Source organism: Homo sapiens, chromosome 1 (genome assembly GCF_000001405.40).
Source record: "Homo sapiens chromosome 1, GRCh38.p14 Primary Assembly".
Taxonomy (NCBI): domain Eukaryota; kingdom Metazoa; phylum Chordata; class Mammalia; order Primates; family Hominidae; genus Homo; species Homo sapiens.
The window spans coordinates 186,131,858-186,153,288 of NC_000001.11; the positions used below are offsets into that span (position 1 = coordinate 186,131,858).

The following is a 21,431-nucleotide window of genomic DNA, read 5'->3' on the forward strand; positions in this document are numbered from 1 at the left end:
TAAATTTCAAACGCTCTAGACAAAGGTCCAGCTGAATGTAGTTTTAATAATCCCCATTAGAAAGGACTCAGTATTTGTTAATTTGTCCTGATTATTTTAATGCTTTTTAAGATATCTATAAGTATAGCATTAGTATTTTTCTTTAGTAAGATAATTCCAGATAGATGATCATAAAATAATGTAATTTTTGCTTTGGTTTCTTACCAGTTAGTATTCCTGGAGATCAATGATAGGCTATTTTGAGAAAGTTTAGGCTTGGAATTTGTTTTCTCCCTTCCCCCTCCTCTTTCTCTTCCTCCTCCTCCCTCCTTTAAATCTATTTAAGAGGTTAGACATATGTAGGTTTTCTTATTTCCATTAAAATTCCTTCTCAAAAATGAAATTTCAAATAAACTAGCATCATGGTGAAAAAAGTGATTGCCCTGCTCTGTAGGCTCATATTTTTGTAAAAACGCTGCTTATTTCCATAGAATGAAGATGCCGGTGACTATACATGTGTAGCTACCAATGAAGCTGGGGTGGTGGAGCGCAGCATGAGTCTGACTCTGCAAAGTAAGCTGCTTAATGAAACTAATTAAACACTTGATTTAGGAAATATTACCTAATAAAGAGTATTTATTTTCTTTAACTCTATAGCAAGTTCATTAGTGGTAGCTCTCAGAGTGTGTCTAATTTAGTTTTCTGCTGCTGATGGAGCAGTTGTCATCAAACATAAATCTGATAACACACAGATATTTTTCTCTATTTTATCTAACGTATATAGTATAAGATTGCAATTGATTGGTGGCAGAGCTTTTTTTTTTATTATACTTTAAGTTTTAGGGTACATGTGCACAACGTGCAGGTTAGTTACATATGTATACATGTGCCATGTTGGTGTGCTGCACCCATTAACTCGTCATTTAACATTAGGTATATCTCCAAATGCTATACCTCCCCCCACCCCCCACAACAGGCCCTGGTGTGTGATGTTCCCCTTCCTGTGTCCATGTTCTCATTGTTCAGTTCCCACCTATGAGTGAGAACATGCGGTGTTTGGGTTTTCCTCCTTGCGATAGTTTGCTGAGAATGATGGTTTCCAGCTTCATCCATGTCCCTACAAAGGACATGAACTCATCGTTTTTTATAGCTGCATAGTATTCCATGGTGTATATGTGCCACGTTTTCTTAATCCAGTCTATCATTGTTGGACATTTGGGTTGGTTCCAAGTTTTGAATACTAGTTCAACCATTGTGGAAGTCAGTGTGGTGACTCCTGGGGATCTAGAACTAGAAATACCATTTAACCCAGCAATCCCATTACTGGGTATATACCCAAAAGATTATAAATCATGCTGCTATAAAGGTGGCAGAGCTTTTTAATTACAGCATATTCAATGGAGTGCCCCTTCTTACAATTCACCACAGTTATTCCAACATGCTTAAAAAGATTGCCATTTATGGCACTTTAAGATATTTATTAAAAATAAAGACTAATGTAAAGGAGCTCAAAAGTGCTCCAGCTTGATGGCTGTCATCTTTCATGAAATAACTAAACGTTCTGGGTGAGATTCTCATGCTCATCAGGAAGCCCTTCAGTAAGAGTCATCGGAAAACAGAGCATCCATAATTGGATAAACATAAAATAATCCAATGGCCCACTGGAGAGTTTACAGAACCACTTAAGGGGCTGACCCAAAGACAATGTCACTGGGTTGAGAATTTAAGCAAGTCAAGTCATTTTGTGACTAGGCTCAGTATTTAACAGGGTGAATTTACATTTTCTTCATCACTATTGAGAGATGCTCTAGATTAGTTAGCTGTTTGCCAAACTATATAATTCTGTAAGACTCGAATAGATGGATAGACATTTAATAAGTATCTAATACAATGTTTCACTAAAGAACATATCTATCAAATGATAACATGGGATGTCATTAGGAAAAAATAGGGTTCTATGTTCAAACAAACCTGAGAAAAAATGAATTAAACAGAGTTCTTTTATTTATTAAATATATAAAGAACAGTTACTATGTGCTCAGCCCTCCTTAGGCATACCAAATTTCTTTACTGCAGATTTTCCAGAAATGTTAATATGTTGGTGTGAATTATGGCTCAACAAGGAGAGAATATAATATGCCACATTTTCCAAATAAATGTTGAGTGAACGTAGGTAGAACACTACACAATCCACTGACCCAGTTTAAAAAAAGCTACATTAGAGCAGCTCATCTGCACATATTGACAATAAATTCATTTTAGTAAGTGAGGCATATTAAATAGTCAAAAATATAATTTGGTTCAAATTAGGATTAAAGTACCAGAAGCGATATTTTTATTTAAAGTGTTCATATTTATTATGTGAATGATGAAATTAATTCAATTGAAGTATGTACATATGGAATTTTATTGTATTAATTTATAGCTTCATATGCAATTGGGAATGTTCAAGGATGGTATCTAAATTAAGGTTCTGAGTTTATTTGATAATTTAGCCATTTTAATACGAGCAGACAAGCTTATTTAGTCATGTTGTCACTTAGTGTTGAGGGATAAACCTGAGGTATTTACTTTATGCAGCAACAGTTTATTGAATACATAATGTAATCAGGAAACTAGGAGAGAAATAAAAGCACTGGCCCTGAAAGTTTCTAGAGTGAGGTTAATATAAACATCAGTTAGAAGGCATTGTGTAGGGTGATGAGCATAAGTCAGAGTAATGCTTTATATGACATTTGCTAAGAGAGTCAAACCTCACATGAAGGAATTACTTTTTTAAAAGACAACATGTCACGGATACCTTTGCAGAAAAAAACTAACATATTAATATCACAACAAAACACATTTTTGTTCTATTTTTGTCTTATTTGTATTCTATTTATTCTAGATACACTTCTCAGTCTAAAATATGCAGCCACAACCTTGAATTATCTATTACCTCTCACTGAACAAATCATTCTGCCTTTCAGTTCAATGTCACTAAAACACTGCTCTCATCCCATCATGCTCCTTCTCAAGAATGTATATGCTGCCCCGTTTGCTTTCTTATTTAAATGAAAACCTTTCTTATTTTAGGATTTGAACCAATGTTCACAACCCTGTATGCTGTTACTCTTCAGGGTGAACCTTCCTTTCTATTCTGTTCATTGTCTTGAAAAAGAAAAAGAGCTAACTCCATCTCCATGTTGTGTCTTTCTCTCCAAGTGTTCTCCCCTCTCCTCTCTGTTCAAATAACCTTACTTATTTTTGAAAATCCAGTTCAACTCTCTTTTTCCCAATGAAGTCTGTCATATTCTGTCATCTGTCTTGGCACTGTAGACCAATATAGACGTAAACATTCTGCCAGCAGTTGCATGCAGTTCCTTTTACAATCTTTCCAAGGACTTTACTTCAGCCATTGTCATTCACTATAGACACTGTTAATATCTCCCTCCTTCCTTTTTGGTTACCAGAATACCATTTTTATCCTGATTTTCTTCCTACCTCAGTGATTCGTTCTGAGTATCTTTATAAGCTTGTCTTCTGTCCATCTCTTAAATAATGCTGTTGCAATGGTTTCTGTCTTTGGCCGTCTTCTCATTTTAGACTCTCTTCTGAAGCAATCTTATTCACTATGAAAGACTCACACATATATATTTCTTGCTCATCTTTATTCTGAGCTCTAGATATGAATATCCCTGTCATGTAGACATCGCTATATGAATGTCTTAGAGATACCTCAAGTTCAGCAGTTCTAAATGGATGCAAATTATCATTCCTTACTCCCTATCCACAAATCTGTTCTTCCTGTTGTGTGCTATTGCATTGCCCAAATATACCATATTGTCCAAATCAAAACCCTGCAGTCATGAGTTCTTCCCTTTAACCCATACCAATCCGTAACAAAGTTCTATCATTTCTACTTTCTTAATAATTCTTGGATATGTCTTCCTTTTCCCCTCCATTTCCAGTGGCATGCTTTTGTTTGATCTATTATTTCTATGGTTTATGCTCCCATATTAGTACACGTTAGTTCCATAGGTATGCTATAGCACAAGTCTGTCTTATCAGTGGACTGTGAGCTCCTTGAGACTAGAAAGAATATCTTTTCTCTATATGCTCTCAGCATCCACCACAATGCCTGGCAAATAGCAGGCTTTCAGTACATGTTTATTGAATAAATGATGGCCAGTGGTAAAAGAATGAGTTAATTAGCCAGGCGTGGTGGCGGGTGCCTGTAATCCCAGCTACTCAGGAGGCTGAGGCCGGAGAATTGCTTGAACCCTGGAGGGAGATGTTGCAGTGAGCCGAGATTGTGCCATTGCACTCCAGCCTGGGTGACAAAGGGAGACTCTGGCTCAAAAAAAAAGAATGAGTTAATGACTCTTTACCTCAAAAATGATCAAAAGAAAAAAGTGAATATTCACCATATAAAACACAGACAAAAATAATAGTAACTAAGAGCACTGTGTGCTTACCTTGTTCAAAAGTTGTAGTCACATCCTCTTGTTGAGTCTAACAGGAATCCTCTGAAGTAGGCACCATTTTTAAGGACATGGGGCTCAGAGAGGTAGTAAGGAGCAGACACAGAATTTGAATCCAGGAAACATGACTCTAGAGCCCATGCTCTAGGCTAATCTCAGGAATTTTAAATTTTTGACATTTACTAAATAAAAAAGAATTATGAAAATTGTATTAATGGCAATTATAATCTATAATCTTAGTTGGGAAGCAACAGTGTTTTATAAACAAATCAATCACTTTTTTCAAAATAATGTCGCCATATAATACATGATAAAAAAAAATGCTGTAACTCCACAAAAACTGAGACACTATGTGCTTTTTTCCGTAGGTCCTCCTATTATCACTCTTGAGCCAGTGGAAACTGTTATTAATGCTGGTGGCAAAATCATATTGAATTGTCAGGCAACTGGAGAGCCTCAACCAACCATTACATGGTCCCGTCAAGGGCACTCTATTTCCTGGGATGACCGGGTTAACGTGTTGTCCAACAACTCATTATATATTGCTGATGCTCAGAAAGAAGATACCTCTGAATTTGAATGTGTTGCTCGAAACTTAATGGGTTCTGTCCTTGTCAGAGTGCCAGTCATAGTCCAGGGTGAGTGTGATCAGAGGAATATTCATAGTAAACAGTACCTGGGGTGACTCAAATCATGGAAATTATTAAGCACTTTAGTCCAAGTCTCCTGTCACCTTAACATACTTTTAGATGATGGGGAGAGGACAAAATCATCAAAATTTACAGATTGAAGGGCCTAAACCAACACAGATTAGAGCTTTAAAATGCCAAGGTTTTAATTTAAAATCCCAAACTAGATTTTTGATTCACAACTAAATCTATTCTTAGAAATCAATGTATATGTTTTGCTGCAAAGAATGACTTATGTCCAAAAGGTGAACAGTTTGTAAACTTGTTGGTCTCTAACTCTTCCAGCAGCCATGTGCAAGTGAGTGAGGATTCGATCTGAGAAGAAACTTTGGCTAACTGAAGTTCTTCTCTCTCTCTTGGATTTTAATTTTCCTTAAAGGAGAGCTTCCATACGCTATTTCTCAGCAACTATATATTTAGCTCTGTAACCCGTGCATATCTTAAATGAAATCTCCTTTACAATGTTTTATTTGCAAAAGCTTAGACAAAGTACAATGTTTTATTTGCAGTTCATGGTGGATTTTCCCAGTGGTCTGCATGGAGAGCCTGCAGTGTCACCTGTGGAAAAGGCATCCAAAAGAGGAGTCGTCTGTGCAACCAGCCCCTTCCAGCCAATGGTGGGAAGCCCTGCCAAGGTTCAGATTTGGAAATGCGAAACTGTCAAAATAAGCCTTGTCCAGGTACACCTCCTTATTTAACTGATAGGCATGTGTTTAATAGACCTTCATTTCTGTCTTCTACCTATGGATTGCCCCAGTGTAAGTATTCCCAATTGAAATATACCTGATGGTGTAATGGTTCACCTTTGTATAGTGGATGGTAGCTGGTCGGAATGGAGTCTTTGGGAAGAATGCACAAGGAGCTGTGGACGCGGCAACCAAACCAGGACCAGGACTTGCAATAATCCATCAGTTCAGCATGGTGGGCGGCCATGTGAAGGGAATGCTGTGGAAATAATTATGTGCAACATTAGGCCTTGCCCAGGTGAGAAACCACCAATAATGCTAAGATAAACAAAACTTTTCTATCTTAACCCCTATGAAAGAATTACATTTGCCTTTTCTTCTTCATTGTAAAAAGATGTTATGGCCTCTACCCTTGAGAATATGTTCATTCACTATATTCTTAGTTCTCTTTCATGGATAAACTTGTAAAGGTATGGCATTCATTGATGTTAAGCAAAATACCTGCTTTAATTGAACTTGAAGAAAGGGTCCAAACTGGAGTGTATTTCTCAATCACGTAAAGAAAACATAAGTATTTACAAGGTCATAAAGTAACATCTAATCCAGCCATCCATTTCGAGGTGAGAAAAATGAACCCTAGAGAGGTTAAAGACTTGCCCAGAAACACACAACTGGTGAGGAGTAAATACGAATCGCTGTCATTCACTAAATACTTGCCACATAATAGGAACCATGCTAGGTGCTTTATATTGTTAATATTGTGTATTGTTATTGATTTTGTGTTTTAGCACTCTTTCCAATTAAAGTGACAAATCAAACAAGTCCAAGTAGAAAATTTTCAGGTATAATTGAATCCAAGGATTTGGACAGTGCTTTTACTAGCATGTTTTCCATCTCTCATCTCTACTTTCCTCTCTTTGGCTTTATTCTCTATTAAACTCTTTCCATGTGGTGGAAACAATGGCTGCTGACAGCTACTGGCTCACAGGGGCCTTATAATCTAAGTGAGGCCTCAGAGAAAAAGAGTTCCCTTGTCTCTCAGAATTCGTATCAGTCTCTGGAAAGGAACCCTGTTTGCTTTTGTTCAGGTCACATGTTTACCCCTGAACTCAAGTGAGTCCAGGAGAAGGGTATTTTAATAGCCATCTTGGGTGAACTGTCTACCTAGTGTAAAGAGTGTTGAGAAAGAAATCATGCAAAGTGGAGGAGCTGTTCATTTATTCATTCATTCATCCAACAAATATTTACTGAGCACTTACTTTGTCATCAAGACACTGTTCTAGTTGCTAGAGTTAAAATAATAAACAATATCTTTCCAGTATTTATCAACATACCCAAAAAACTCAGAGACTTGAAATGATGGAGTACAACTTGGAGAGATATCTTAGCTGGAATGATCAGAAAAAGAAATAATGGACAAACCAAAAAGGGACAGGTATTCACTACATTGGGTATTGCATCCTATTGTGCAGATGAGGAAAGATTTAGAAAATAATGTGCAGTAATTCACTAAGGATAGACAGCTAATAAAAAATGAATCAAAGTTTTGAACTCAGGTTGATCTAATTATGAAGCTTATTTAAATCGTAGGTATCTGGATTTGCAATTCGGAACTTTGATTACATTACAAAAACTAAGTACTGTCCTGACGTCTTAAAATAAACGAGAAGCCATTTATTTTAGTCTTAAAGAATTTGAAAGCTGGTTGTAATAACATTATGTTCTAAATTTAAAAGAGCAGGAAATACTTGATTGAGCAATTTTGTGTAATTTGTCATCTATAATAACTATATAATAACTAAATGATATTTGTAAATATCCTAAAATAAAAGCCAGTTTTTTCTTTTCATGTTGAGTAACTATTCGCCTACTACTGTCTGTTTGGTTACTTACTGTTGTTTTGTTCACTATTCTATTGGCTTGTTTTTTTTTTTTTTAAAGGCTTTCTCTAGTTATTTCCCCCAGTCCCTAAACCAAATGAATTTAGCTATTGTTTGAGCATAATGTCGGTGGTGTCCTAGAGCCATTCAATGAAAGCATGTATTTCTTCCCAATAAGAGCATGTATGAAAATTTAGTGATGCCACATTGGTAGGTAAATATCAGCTGTAGTAGGAGTATCTATACCACAAAAATTAGCGATGCTACAAGTTTTCCTCCTCACCCCTAGAGAGCTGGTTGTTAAATATTTCTCAGCTCACCACTGCAAAATCGGCAGCCAGCCTAAGACAGCCTTTCTCATCCAGAAAGTATGTGAAAATCTCGGGGGCAGAAGATACTTGGCTTTAGTACAGTTCATTTCTAACAATGTTGAACTTAAAAAAGAGTTGCAAGAAGAGTACAGATAATTATTTCTATGTAACACTATCTAGGTGAAATTTTGTGTATTTCCTGAAACAAGGACATTCTCTTTCATGAACATAGTACAGTGATCAAAATTGGGAAATTTTAACATTGATACTACTATTATCTAATTTCATTATCTAATCTGGTTATCTAATCCACAGGCCATGTTTGGATTTTGCCAGTTGTCCCAGTAATATCTTTGTAACTCTTTTTCCCCCATTCCAAGATCCGATCCACGATCACACTTGTACTTATTTGTTGTGTCCCTTTGGTCTCTTTTAATTGGAAAATTTTCTCAGTCTCTTTTTCTTTCATGAACTTGATATTTTTTAATATACAGGCCAAGTATTTTAGAGAAGACAATTCAATTTGGATTTGTCTAACATCTCCTCATGATTACATGTAGGTTTTGCATTTTGGCAGGAACACCACAGAAATGATTTTGTGTCCTTCTCCATGCATCATTTCAAAAGGCACATAATGTCAGTTTGTCCCATACTGGTGGTGTTAACTTTCTTCACTTGTTTAAGGTAGTGTCTGTCATTGTATAGTTACTATTTTTACTTCTATTATTAATAAGTATTTTGTAGGGAAACTTAGAGTCTCTATAAACATCTTATCAACCTTTCACCCACTAGTTTTAGCATCCATTTCTGATTTCTGCTTGAATCAGTTATTACTATGATTTTTGCAAAATAGCTATTTTCTAACTCCATCATTATCTTCCATATCTATTATTGACCTCTGTCAAGAACTTTCTCATTTCTTTACTTTGTGATTTATATCAATCAGGACTCAGGTATTATTCAATGGTTTATCACAGTGGAACCTAACCTTTTTGGCACCAGGGACTGGTTTTGTGGAAGACAATTTTTCTACAGATCGAGGGTTGGGGGGATGGCTTCAGGATGATTCAAGCACATTACATTTATTGTGGATTTTATATATAATGAAATAATTATATAACTCACCATAATGTAGACTCAGTGGAAGCCCTGAGCATGTTTTCCTGCAACTAGAAGGTCCTTTCTGGCATTGATGGGGGACAGTGACAGATCATCAGGCATTAGATTCTCATAAGGAGCACACAACATAGATCCCTCGCATGCACAGTTCACAATAGGGTTCGCACTCCTATGAGAATCTAATGCCACTGCTGATCTGACAGGAGACGGAGTTCGTGGTAATGTTAGCAATGGGGAGTAGCTGTAAATACAGATGAAGCTTTGCTCGCTTGCCAAGCGATCCGTGGCCCATGGGATTGAGGACCCCTGGTTTATCATACACTGTCATTATTTATCATCATGTTCACATTATCCTAGAATAGGTTAGTGGAGGCAGGCTTGTCTGGGCTGGCTTCAGTGTTGAGATGTCCTCATGATTCTTTGAGTACTTCCTTACTTTCCGGTGCAAATAGTTACTTCAAACTTATTTTGTACTTTCCCTGCCCCAGTTAGTTAGAAGAGTGTTTTTAAACTGCAAATCTTTTTTAAGATTGATATCTTCGGTGATGGCCTGTCCTGACAATTGAGAATCATTGTCATTAAAATACATATATAGCTACAGATTAAAGAGTGACCATTTTTTCAAGTGTCTGTCTGAAAACTGTTGAGAACTTTGAGCAAAGCCATCATAGCTCCTAGCTTACACTTATGTAGGATTTACTATGTGTCCTGTACTGTTCCTAGCACTTTTCTTCTATGAACTCATTACTGCTCACCTCAACTCTAATAAATTATCTTTTATTATTTGCATATTGCAGATGATGAAACTAGGCACACAGCAGCCAAGTGACTTGTCAGGATTGCATGGCCTGTAAGGGCAGAATAGTTATTCAAGCCCAGAGTGTCTGCCTGGAGACCCATTCCTAGCATTGTGCTCCTCTACCCTGCCATAACTAAAACTGCAACATAGTGTAACAAATTGAGTTATAATATTTTGCATGTTTCTTACCTACTAATCCCTCTGTAGTTTTTTAATATTTTAACTTTCATTTTAGTTTAGTTTCAGAGGTATATGTTCAGGTTTGGTATATAGGTAAACTTATGACTCAGGGGTTTGATGTACAGATTATTTTGTCACCTGGATACTAAGCATAGTATCCAAATTTATTTTTCTAAACCTCTTCCTCCTTCCACCCTCCTCCCTCAAGTAGGCCCCAGTGTTTGTTGTTCCCCTCTTTCTGTCCATGTGTTCTCATTATTTAGCTCCCATTTATAAGTGAGAACATGCAGTATTTGGTTTTCTGTTCCTGAGTTAGTTAGTTTGCTAAGGATACTGGCCTCTAGTTCCATCCCTGTTCCTGCAAAGGATGGGACCTCATTCTTTTTTATGGCTGCATAGTATTCCATGGCACGTATGGTACCACATTTTCTTTATCCAGTCTACTGTTGTTGGGTGTTTTGGTTGCTTCTGTCTTTACTATTGTAAATAGTGCTTAATGAACACACAGGTGCATATGTCTTTATGTAGAACAATTTATATTGCTCTGGGCATATACCCAATAGTGGGATTGCAGGGTCAAATGGTAGTTGTGTTTTTAGTTCTTGTTTTTTTGCATCATCTAGATAGCATGATGTTTTATGCCAACTCCAGTTTATATTATCATTCTCCCTTTTTTCTTGCTATCATTCCATTCTTATAAAAGAAACACTTGAACTCTACAACATTTTGTATCTTGAAGTCCAATTCTAGTTAGGATTTTCCATATTGATTAAAAAATAAAAATAAAAAAGTCTTTAGCTGAAAACCTGTATTTATATGTAGTAGAAATGACACAGAAATGAATAAATGTTACCCAATTGTTAACCCTCCAATTAAAAATGCATCTATATTAAATGGCATTATATTGTAAGAGGCTGAGGCTTTTGTTAACCAACAGCCTTGAAAATAAAATGTATTAAAATAATTGGAACTTCAGAATTTTTGAAATCATACAGTCAATATTTGAGGGCTATGAGCATCCACAGCCTGAATTAATACAGAAGTAGTTTTGAATATCTGCCATATATTTAAAGCCTTTCTTCTTTCCTCTGAGGTTTAGCCAAATACTTTTTAGTGCAAATTCTTGTTGGCTAAAATAGATTTGTGTGACTATGTTTTTGTCTACAAAGCACAAGGATAATTAGTCAACTCAGTCAGAAACCCATTAACTATAAGAAACTGTAACATGCATTTAAAAATATTTTTCTAACCAAAGCAGACAAATGATAATTTCATTACATGGTTTTCAACTTGTTCTGGAGAATATTTACACTCAGCCTTTGAGGCTCTTATTTCTGCTCATATTTTGATTAAACCAGGTGACCAAAAGATGTACTTTATGAGCTCCATATCTAGCAAGTTCCCTGAAAACAAAAATATGACCTGGTATTCACGTGTATATAAGGAAAGCCATAATGTTGAATCTCAGCCCAGGTACCTGGTAAAACATAAGGTTGTTTCATTCTTGTGGTCCAATGATGTGATGTGTTAGTTCCCAAAGGAAGGCCTTAATATCACTCCTTGGAAACTACTAGTCAGCTTTTTATGTTGTTTAGGAAGCAGGTTAGTATGTTATTCAGAACTTTAATTCATGAACACATGTAATGGAAAAAGTTTTCCAAAGAATTACAGCTGTGCAAATCATCATGTTGTTGAAAGATCCAAGTACATATGTAGATATGAAGCTGAATCAGGCTTAAGGATGTGGTCTTGCTGTCTAGGGTCCAAATTATCTTTGTGGAAATATTTGTATTGTCTATAACCACATCTCAATCTGTTATACAGCCTTGTTCCCAAGCTCCCAGTTATTTTCACTTTCTCCAGAGCAAAGAACACAGACAAATACTTAGCTAAGGGCTTAAACACTCAGACTGTATTTATATATGGTAGTTTGAGTAAATTTAATTGTAATAAAATAGCTCCTTTGGGTGATTTTAAACATTTATCTTGGCATCAGGTAAGCCTTCTGAATTTCCCTATAGACACAAATTCCTCTGAAAATCTAACCAGAAGGAGAAAGATCATCATTTGTTATGTTTCATTTGGTTCAGTTTCAATTCTCTTAGATTGGGGACTAATTAGCTCATTACTGAGTTAATTTATTTATATAATTTTGGTTTTAAACAAACACGGTTCTGTGACTTGCAACTGTCTTTTGGGGTGTTTGCAGTTCATGGAGCATGGAGCGCTTGGCAGCCTTGGGGAACATGCAGCGAAAGTTGTGGGAAAGGTACTCAGACAAGAGCAAGACTTTGTAATAACCCACCACCAGCGTTTGGTGGGTCCTACTGTGATGGAGCAGAAACACAGATGCAAGTTTGCAATGAAAGAAATTGTCCAAGTAAGAGAAATACACTGTTTATACCTTAATAAATTAACATCTACCTATCTTATCTAGGTAGTATGTCAACAAGAATCTATCCCATTCTAACTGTGCCCACAAGAACATCTCTCAAACTAACAATGCCCAGAGTGTAACACGATGGTTCCTAGGTAGTAAGAAAGCATGTACCTTTTTCCCTTATTCCAGTTCATGGCAAGTGGGCGACTTGGGCCAGTTGGAGTGCCTGTTCTGTGTCATGTGGAGGAGGTGCCAGACAGAGAACAAGGGGCTGCTCCGACCCTGTGCCCCAGTATGGAGGAAGGAAATGCGAAGGGAGTGATGTCCAGAGTGATTTTTGCAACAGTGACCCTTGCCCAAGTGAGTGTTGGAAATAGTGAGTCAACATTATACTTTCATAAAGTTTCATTATGACTGTAATTCCTTAAAGTTGCAATATTCCGTTATTTGGTTCTTCAACCTTTGGTTTAGGATGTCAGAATGTTGTAAGGTTGCTGTCATGTCTGTATAATACCCTAGATGTCTTCGATTCATAGGGGCAGGAGCTGTGTCCTATTTCACTTGCTCTATATAGGACTAGCCCCAGAGTATAAGAATGAGAGCACCCCTGCATGCTAACTCTTCATGATGCTTACAGTTCTTTTATGAAGGCAAGCAGGCAGCTCTCTGCCTTAGTGCCGTCATCAACCTGGATTTTTAGACCCTTGCAGCAACTTGATATCTGGAAATCTGAGTTACATTGTATCCTGAAGTTTACAGCCTTGGCTTATCAAAAGCAGAGGTCCTGTCTCATTTATACCCTCCAGCTCCTGGAATATTTTAAGACTCAATAAATGTATGTTAAATTGAATCACACAAATACAGGAATGCATACTCAGTTTCTAGTCAAAACCGAAGCTAAACTATCTTCCTTTGGAAGTTGCCTATTTATAGACTTGCATGTTTTGTTTTAGGTGCTGAGAAGAGACTTTTTTTTTAATACTTTTTGGATGAATGTCATTGTTGACCACTTCTCATTTTAGGGGCTCTGTTTTCATCTCAGATTATTCTGTCTTGTAGCCCATGGTAACTGGAGTCCTTGGAGTGGCTGGGGAACATGCAGCCGGACGTGTAACGGAGGGCAGATGCGGCGGTACCGCACATGTGATAACCCTCCTCCCTCCAATGGGGGAAGAGCTTGTGGGGGACCAGACTCCCAGATCCAGAGGTGCAACACTGACATGTGTCCTGGTGAGCCTCTTGATTTCTGGCAGTTGAATAAGTAAAGCATTTCATTTAGTGCTCATTGTAGCAGGCCTATTGCTTCAGACCTTAAAATGAAAGTTGTATAGGCAGGGGCACCCCAAGTATAGATTATGAAGATTTTGAAGCCAATTTCTTAACAGTGACCATTCCATTCTTGTTCACAGTGGATGGAAGTTGGGGAAGCTGGCATAGTTGGAGCCAGTGCTCTGCCTCCTGTGGAGGAGGTGAAAAGACTCGGAAGCGGCTGTGCGACCATCCTGTGCCAGTTAAAGGTGGCCGTCCCTGTCCCGGAGACACTACTCAGGTGACCAGGTGCAATGTACAAGCATGTCCAGGTAAGCAACTAAATTGGACTTTGGTAGCACATTTAGAGCCTTTGTGCAAATTAGAGAAAGGTGCCACAAATTACAAAACAATGCCAACCCTGAGAGGTGGAATTAGAAAAAAAAAAAAAAGTGCTTTCTTGCTCCTAATTGGTACAGTTCTGTATCAATCCAAGGCTGGGTTCTAGCCTCTATTTTCTCCCTTCCAGGCTTCCTGGTAAAAGGATATAGTCCTGGCATTGACAGGAAAAAGGGTGAGGCAGAGTGGGGAAAAATGGGCTGAGACTCCAGACTGAAGGTAAGGTGGGGCAGTGGCTAAATATCTAAAGAAAGCTACAATTGGAGGCTGTTCATCTGTGGATGGGAATTTGAATGACATGAGCGTGGGAAGTAAAATAAGAATCAGTTCAGTCTGAGGAGAAAGAATAAGAGGAGTTCAGTTATCAAGTTCAGCCTGAGTCATGCATTGCATCTAGCAAGTGATGTAAAAATTCAGAAGTCTATAACTCATGGGCCTTAGAATTTGCTGGGATTCCAAGAAATGGTAGCTAATACTCAATACCTTGTCTCAGAAGGCAGGCTTCTAAAGGTTGTAAGAAGACCAACAATAACGGTTTTATATTGTTGAAGTGTCAAGATATCAGTTAGAATCTCCAAAGCTTTAAGGTCTTCTTAGAAATAAAATGTTCCTGAAAAATCAAGATCATTTGACAGAGTGAGAGAGATTTACATTTAAAAATGTATAGGACCTAGACAAGCTGAAGGAAGTTGATAGTCCACTACCATCAACAACTGTTGAACATTATCGACTAATTAACAAGGACTTTGAGGCTCCAGCTGAGGCATGGTGTCAGCTTCAGTTGATGCACTTTGTAGCTCAGCCTCTGGTAGTAGCAGGGCCCCAGTGGCATCAGGAGGTCCAAATAGGTTGACAGTTTGGGTTGCAGAATCTGGCAGAGGATTTCAGAGATCCCAGCCAGGTATTCAGAATGAGGAGTCTTTTGAGCACTGGGACTCAAGTCCCTCTGTGAGACTAGAGAACCAGGGTCAAAATGTCAGTGATGACCCAGAGAGCTAAGTAAATTAGTGGTCCTAATACTCCTCTTTCTCCCTGCTTAGGACTAAGGATAAGAACCAAAATGGCCTACCGGGCCTTGACTGGCTCTCTACTTTCCTACATCATCTTGCAGCATGGCTTCCATTACTCTCTACGCTTTCTACTGCTTTTGCCCTCTCAGATGTGGCAAGCCACTACCCACAAAAGAGTGACACATACTCTGTCCCCTACCCAGAAAGCCCTTCTGCCCTCCCTGGCTTAGTTAAGACTTAAACTTTAAGGTTCTTCTTTATTTTTACTTCCTTCTCAAACTTCCCTAAATAGTAGGTAGTAGTGCATTCCAACCTTACATTTATTTGTGGGATTTAGATTGTTTTTCTCCCCAATTCAGACATAAGCTCTATGAAGGCAGGCTTCATGTCTTTTTTTTTTTTTTTTCTCACCATTTTTTTCTTTAATTCGTGGCAAACAAATGAATGTAGTACAGACCATGAAGGCTGAATCATCATGAAAAAATGTTTTCTCTCAGTATTAATAATAAAAGTAATGTAAATTAAAATGGTAAAGTACTTACTGATTTTTCTGAGGCTGAATGCAATTGTATTTCTCTCCAATATATAATATAAGCATACCTCAGAGATATTGCAGATTCAGTTCTAGACCACCACAAGGAAGTGAATATTGCAACAGAGCAAGGCACATGAATGTTTTGGTGCATATAGGAGTTATGTTTACACTATTCTGTAGTACTATTAAGTATCCAACAGCATCATGTCTAAAAAACAATGCACATACTTTAATTTTAAAATACTTTATTGCTAAAAAATGCTAATGATTATCTGAGCCTTCAGAAAGTCAATCTTTTAGCTGGCAGAGGGTCTTGCCTTGATGTTGATGGCTGCTGACTGATCAGGATGGTGGATGCGGAAGGTTAGGGTGGCTGTGGCAATTTCTTAAAATAAGACAAGAATGACATTTGCCACATCAATTGATTCTTCCTTTCATGAATGATTTCTCTGTAGTGGACAATGCTGTTAAATAGCACTTTACCCACAGTAAAACTTTCAAAGTTTGGGTCAATCCTCTCAAATCCTGCCACTGCTTTATCAACTAAGTTTATGTAATATTTTAAGTCCTTTGTTGTCGTTTTAACAATGTTCACAGCATCTTCATCAGGAGTAGATTCCATATCAAACAACCATTTTCTTTGTTCATCTGTAAGAAGCAACTCCCCATTCATTCAAGTTTTATCATAAGATTGTAGCAATTCAGTCCCATCTTTAGGATATACTTCTAATTCTCTTGCTCTTTTAACCACTTCTGTAGTTACTTCCTCCACTGAAGTCTTGAAACTTCAAAGTCATCTATGATGGGGGGAATCAACTTCCAATATCCTGTTAATATTGATATTTTGACCTCCTTCCACAGACATTCTTAATGGCATCTAGAATGATGAATTCTTCCCAGAAGGTTTTCAATTTACTTTGCCCAGATCCATCAAAGGAATCACTATGGTAGTTATAGCCTTAGAAAATATTTCTTTCTGTTTTTTTTGTTTGAGACAGAGTCTCATTCTGTCACCCAGGCTCGAATGCAGTGGCGTGATCTCAGCTCACTGCAACCTCTGGCTCCAGGGTTCAAGCGATTCTCCTGTCTCAGCCTCCAAGTGATTACAAGTGCCCACCACCATGCCCAGCTAATTTTTTGTATTTTTTTTTAGTAGAGACAGGGTTTCACCATGTTGGCCAGGCTGGTCTTGAACTCCTCAAGTGAGCTACCGGCACCTGACCTAGAAAATGTATTTCTTAAATAATAAGTCCTGAAAGTCAAAATTACTCTTTGATCCATGGCTGCAGAATGGATGCTGTATTAGGCATGAAAGCAACATTTATCTCCTTGTACATCTCCATTAGACCTCTGCAGTGAACATTCACATGTCAGTGGGCAGTAATACTTTGAAAGGAATCTTTTTTTTTTTTTTTTATTTTCCTGAGCGTTAGGTCTCAAAAATAGGCTTAAAACATTAAGTAAACCATGCTATAAACAGATGTGCTGTCATCCAGGCTTTGTTGTTTCATTTATAGCACAGAGGCAGAGTAGATTTAGCACAATTCTTATGGGCCCTAGGATTTTCACAATGAGCATTGACCTCAACTTAAAGTCACCAACTGCGTAAGTCCTTAACAAGACAGTCAGTTTGTTCTTTGGAGCTTTGAAGCCAGGCATTGATTTTACTTCTCTAGCTATGAAATTCCTAGCCAGCATCTTCTTCCAATAGAAGGCTGTTTTGTCTACATTGAAAATCTGTTGTTTAGTGTAGCCACCTTTATCAGTGACTTAGCTACCTCTGGATAATTTGCTCCAGTTTCTACATCAGCATGTGCTGTTCTACCTTGCACTTTTATGTTACTTAAATGGCTTCTGTCCTTGAGCCTCTTGTCTTCTGCAGCTTCCTCATCTACCTCAAGCTTTGTGGAACTAAAGAGAGTTAGGGCCTTAGTCTGGATTGGGCTTTGGCTTAAGGGAACATTGTGGCTGGTTTGATCTTTTATTCAAACCACTCAGATTTTCTCCATATAAAAAATAAGGTTGTTTCACTTTCTTATTTGTGTGTTCACTTTTAATTTTCTTCAAGACTTCTCCCTTTGCATTCACAACTTGGCTAACTCTTTGATGCAAGAGGCCTAGCTTTTGGCCTACATCAATTTTCTACATGCCTGCCTCTCTCAGCTTAACCATTTCCAGCTTTTGATTTAAAGTGAGAGACATGAGACTCTTTCTTTCACTTGAACACTTAGAGACCATTGTAGGGTGAATAATTGGCCTAGTTTCAATATTGTGTCTCAGCTAATAGGGAGGCTCGAGGAGAGGAAGAGAGTCAAGGGAATAACTGGTGGTCGATGGAGCAGTCAGAACACACAAAACATTGATTAAGTTCACCATCTCATATGGGCATGGTTCATGAAACCCCAAAACAATTACAATAGTAACATCCAAGATCACTGATCACAGAACACCCTAAGAGAGATAATAATAATGAAAAAGTTTGAAATATTGCAAGAATTACCAAAATGTGACACAGGAACACAAAGTGAGCAAAGGCTGTTGCAAAAATGGTACCGGTAGACTTTCTCATCACACGGTTGCCACAAGCCTTCAATTTGTAAAAAAAACGCAGTGTCTGCAAAGAGCAACAAAGCAAAGTATGATAAAACTAAATATGCTTGTACATAACAGTATCTGAAATTCCTAGTGATTGCTTTAAAATGTATTAAAATACATCAGATAATGAATATTTATGGATTTGACTATCAGCTACTTCCCAGTATGTTGCCTTCTCTTGTCAAAGCATGAAATTCATTTTGAAAAACATTCATTAACCACCTATTCTGTGCTAGTCACCAGTAATTTTGTTGAACAATAGAAAGAAGGCATAAAATTAATGTTGAGGCCCTTTTTTAAAAATTTATAATTGTTTTGCAACCAGATTACCTTGGTATGAATTTTATAGCACTGGCAAAAGCACAGTCTCTCTCAAGTTAAGCATCTTTCAGTATATTTGTAATATGAAGAACTTGATAAACCCTCACTCTAAAACCCAAGACTGAACAACGTCCTTAGATAATCCACGTTTACATTGGCAGTGGCCTAGAAGCTGTTTTGTTGATGAAGTCTCTCCTTTTCCTGGATGTTCTCATGAAGGAGGCAACAAATAAAAGAACACAGGGTTTGATGCCAAGCAGATCCACATTCAGATCCTCATTCCGCCACTGTCTAGCAATGTAATAAGGAGAAAGTTGCTTAATTTCTACAAACTTAAAGCTACCTTATAGAATTGTTGATAGGATTAAAATGGTTAACACATACTAGATGTTTACCATCATGCATGACATGCTCAATAAACTCTCATTGTCATCACCACCACCAACATATTCTTTATTTTTAGTTTGGGGACTGGACACTGATTGTATTCTTTGGCTTATGAAATATTAATAACACTATGATGTGCACAGATTAGAAGGATCTTAGATTTATGGGTGATGATGGTTGTTATGTGAAAGTAGAATGTTTTAAAAGCTTATTTATTTCACTATTAAATTCAGATGTCATATGACCTTTTTGATGTTTGAGAAAAGATTTGTAGCATCTCTGAATACTGGCCCTCTTTTCTCCCATGTAATGTTGATGAAATTGCATCCTTATCCAGGAATGTTTTTTTTTCCCCCAATAGGTGGGCCCCAGCGAGCCAGAGGAAGTGTTATTGGAAATATTAATGATGTTGAATTTGGAATTGCTTTCCTTAATGCCACAATAACTGATAGCCCTAACTCTGATACTAGAATAATACGTGCCAAAATTACCAATGTACCTCGTAGTCTTGGTAAGTCTTTGCCTCAAGCCTCTTTTTAAAAACTTATATATTATTCTTCATCTTATTACTTCCATTAAAGTTCTAGAGAATGCTACTACTAACTCATAAGTATGGTAAGCTTTTAAACAAACATACATGAGGTACTGGTATTTGTTTCTGGTATTCAACATTATTTAGAATTCATCCTTGTGAATAATATGCTATGAAGACAATAAAATAGACTAAAAATTTTGCTATCACCTTATTTATCCTTTTTTTTCTTTAGGTTCAGCAATGAGAAAGATAGTTTCTATTCTAAATCCCATTTATTGGACAACAGCAAAGGAAATAGGAGAAGCAGTCAATGGCTTTACCCTCACCAATGCAGTCTTCAAAAGAGAAACTCAAGTGGAATTTGCAACTGGTTAGTGTCAGCTGAATTTAATATTCTATTACTATAAAAAGTGCCATGAAGATAGGTGATTAAGAAAAATACGTGTTCCCACATAGAATAATTTGAAACTTTTTACGCAATCTTATAAGTGATATAAAAGCAATTTCATGTTTTCCTGTAAACTTGTACTAACATAAGATCATAAGAGGTCATGTGTTCTCAAGCAGTCATTTTATACCCTAAAAGTTTTTCTCCTCTCCTCTTTTCTTCTTTTTAAAAATATTTTCTCTTTAAATCCATAGAGAGGATATTAAAGACCAAACAAAGAAGGAAAATGAGTTACTGTTATTAATTAAAGACCTTCTTTGTCTTTAAACCAAGATCCAATTAGGATACTTTATAGCAGTTCTTTATGAAAAAGATAGAAACAAAGCAAACCTAAAGGCTTTTCACTCATCCCTAGTCTTAAGGAGTATGGGTTAGCTATTCATGACCCTTTCCATGTACATACAGATGTTTAGAGAGCTCCATTTCAAGCCTCTTCACAGTTGGTCAGCCTCAATAGCAGTGACCTTTAAGGAAGAGGGGCTTGAGGACGGCTTATCTTTAATCAACATTTAATCAGTGGAGAAGACAATTGGTTCTTTTCATGGGCATCCACTTACTCAGATGTCCTTTGTTACTTTTTGAAGCATCAGAAAGAACAAAGCACTGTGGCCAGACTAGTGGTTTTTGCCAGTCACAGACAATTCATTTTTATAAGAGTGCTTTGTTATTGCCTGTGAATTTAAAGTATGAAATTCGTGTAACCGTTTGCCACATTTTTGCTACATAAAAAGAAATGTTAAAAGAAACTGAATTCAATAAACCTAACTCTTTAATTGGGAGGTTAAGTGCTATTTCAGTTCTCATCATCTATACTTATTCAAGTTTGAACTCAAAAAGCATAGCTGAACTGGTATGTAAGGTAAATCTGCTCTGTGCTTACAGAAACCATATTTTTTTGCTGTCAAAATGAATGTCTTGTAATTCCCAGGAGAAATCTTGCAGATGAGTCATATTGCCCGGGGCTTGGATTCCGATGGTTCTTTGCTGCTAGATATCGTTGTGAGTGGCTATGTCCTACAGCTTCAGTCACCTGCTGAAGTCACTGTAAAGGTAAAATGCCAGGATAACTTGTCTTTGCTGCTTATTAGAGTAATGATGAGTGAAAGGTCCATAGAATGAGCACAGATAACTTGTTCACTCTGTGGGGGAAAATGTCCAAACTACCAAGGCTATAAATAACTATCTGATCTTTGTTTAAAAATCTTCAGGGACAAGTTTTTACAAACTCTCTTAATGGTTTTACCACCCTCCCTATCAGGACCAAGATCAAATACTTGATGTAAGGCATTTGTTTAATTTTCTTTAGACAAAGAGGATAGTAATTCTTGCATAAACGTTTTTGTGTATCATCCATAAAATATTTCAGAAATTAAAGGATAACAATCGCCCTTTCACATCTTTGTTTATTCATGACCTATAACTTTGAGTCTCTTATTAAACTGAAATTTATGACAGCAAAATTATGAA

The 21,431-nt window shown here is 37.1% G+C and overlaps 1 protein-coding gene across 4 annotated transcripts in view, besides 1 other annotated feature; it reads left to right on the forward strand.

The window, feature by feature from the left end:
• Positions 1-21,431, forward strand: part of HMCN1 (hemicentin 1) — a 456,559-nt gene that overhangs the window by 397,467 nt on the left and 37,661 nt on the right. For all 4 annotated transcript variants that reach the window (NM_031935.3, XM_011510038.4, XM_017002437.2 and 1 more), the window contains 11 exons: positions 471-552; positions 4,811-5,080; positions 5,641-5,811; positions 5,945-6,115; positions 12,316-12,486; positions 12,676-12,846; positions 13,546-13,716; positions 13,896-14,066; positions 19,343-19,492; positions 19,749-19,886; positions 20,893-21,014. In NM_031935.3, the coding sequence (NP_114141.2) occupies positions 471-552; positions 4,811-5,080; positions 5,641-5,811; positions 5,945-6,115; positions 12,316-12,486; positions 12,676-12,846; positions 13,546-13,716; positions 13,896-14,066; positions 19,343-19,492; positions 19,749-19,886; positions 20,893-21,014 (1,788 nt within the window). The remainder of the gene's footprint in view (positions 1-470; positions 553-4,810; positions 5,081-5,640; positions 5,812-5,944; positions 6,116-12,315; positions 12,487-12,675; positions 12,847-13,545; positions 13,717-13,895; positions 14,067-19,342; positions 19,493-19,748; positions 19,887-20,892; positions 21,015-21,431) is intronic.
• Positions 20,987-21,187: a silencer, noted in NCBI's record as "peak513 fragment used in MPRA reporter construct". NCBI's record gives its function as "represses an SCP1 promoter by STARR-seq MPRAs in K562 erythroleukemia cells {active_cell/tissue: K562}" and the evidence as "EXISTENCE:reporter gene assay evidence [ECO:0000049][PMID:32103011]".